This window comes from Homo sapiens, chromosome 4, assembly GCF_000001405.40.
Source record: "Homo sapiens chromosome 4, GRCh38.p14 Primary Assembly".
NCBI lineage: Eukaryota > Metazoa > Chordata > Mammalia > Primates > Hominidae > Homo > Homo sapiens.
Window position 1 is genome coordinate 171,692,761 of NC_000004.12, and position 2,127 is coordinate 171,694,887.

Below are 2,127 nucleotides of genomic sequence, written 5' to 3' on the forward strand. Positions count from 1 at the left end.
AATAATGGGACAAACCAAATCATGTACCACCTAGTAAGATGGGATGAAAGAAAACAGCACCTCTTCTGTGATATTCCTGATAATGATGAATAACCTCAATGCACTTGTGAGAAAACATCATTAAGCCAAATCAGAGATATTCTACAAAATACCTAACTTGTAACTTATAAATTATCAGGATGATAGAAATCAGAAAAAGAATGAGAAAATGTTTCAGAATGAAAGTGCCTGCAGGGACATGACAATTAATCACACATGTGATTGTGAACAGGACTTCCTTTTTTATTTTTACTACATAGTTAACATTATTGACACATTTGATGAAAATTCAAAGGATCTTCTGATAATTTGATGGCAGTAATTTATCAATGTCAGTTTCCTGATTTGATTAATGCATTACTGTTTTATAGGAGAAAGTCTTTATGGGACATACATAGTAAAGTATTAAGGGATAATGAGGCAACAGATTAGACACTTATTCTGAAATGGTTCAGAACAAACATTATTTTTAATTTACTTGCACTTTTTAGATTAAAAATTATTTCAAATTAAAATGTATATTGTTTAAATTCAGTAAGTGACACATGGTATCATTGCACACACTTAATTTTCATTTTCTCATTAAAAGCCAGTTTGAGCCTGGCATGATAGTGTGTGCCTGTAGTCCCAACTACTTAGGAGGCTGAGGCGGGAGAATGACTTGAGCCCAGGAGATTGAGGCAAGTCTGGGTAACATAGTGAGACCCCATTTGGATTTAGTTTTTATAATCAAGAGTTATTTGTCTTTTTGTGTGAACTTTCTCTTTCAAATTTTCTTTTATTTTCTCACGAGACTGTTCTTCATGTATTTTCCTATTAGATATGTTGGCGCATTTTCTGTGATACAGTTGCTATAATCATTTCCTAGTTTGTCTTTTGATGTTATTTTTAGACATTTATTAAACTTGTATTTAGTAGTATTTATCAATATTTTGACTTTCTGACTTTGAATTTTAGTAATTTTGGACAGTATCAATTTTTTAGTTATAAGAAAATTTACTTAGGCTTTTCTTTCCTTTTTTTTTTTTTTTTTTTGTATATAATGAGAACATTTGGACACAGGAAGGGGAACATCACACACCAGGGCCTGTTGTGGGGTGTGGGGAGAGGGGAGGGATAGCATTTGGAGATATACCTAATGTAAAAGACGAGTTAATGGGTGCAGCACACCAACGTGGCACATGTATACATATGTAACAAACCTGCACGTTGTGCACATGTGCCCTAGAACTTAAAGTATAATAAAAAAATACTTAGGCTTTTCTTTATGTACTTACATGATTTTGGTTTTTACATTTATATTTCTGATAAATCTTTAAGTTACTGTGATGTATAAGATATGAACGCAATTTTATTTTTTTCTGAAAATAGATGTTCATCTTTCCTCAGTATCATTTATTACAAGCTCATATTTTTGCACTGATTTCAAGCATCACTTTTATCATACATAATAGTTTAATATATGTTTAGATCTCCTTTCTCATCTGTTCTGTTGCAACAGTACAGTTATATATTCTTGAGCCAACACCTCACTGTGTTTAGTTATAAAGGCTCATTATTTTAATATTATAGGACTGGGCCTCCCTGATATTTCTTTTTCTTTTTTTAATTAGTCTTACTTGCTTATTAATATTTTTTCATATGGATTTTTGAATTAAGTAATATAGCTCTAGAAAAACCATATTGGATTTTTTTATTAAAATAATGTCAGTCTTACAAGTTAACTTAGAGCTTTGTCATTTTATACTACTAAATCTTCATATCTTAGAACATGGTATGCCTTTCCATTTATTCAAGTTAACTTTTGTGCCTTTCGATGATTAGGTTTTCTTCATGTGGATTTTAGAAAACTTTGTTAAGGCCTCGGTATTTGATGTTTTTATTGCTCTTGTAAATGAAGTATTCTCTTTCAATATATCTTTTTACTAGTTATTGTCTCAATATATGCAGACTCAATATGTGTGTATTAATTTTATAAATTGCTATTAAATATTAACTATGTTCCTTTTCAGCAGGTTTCTTTTTCTTATTGCTTGCTTTAGGCTTTTCATATAAATTATATCATTTTGTAAATAGAGATCTTTTTAT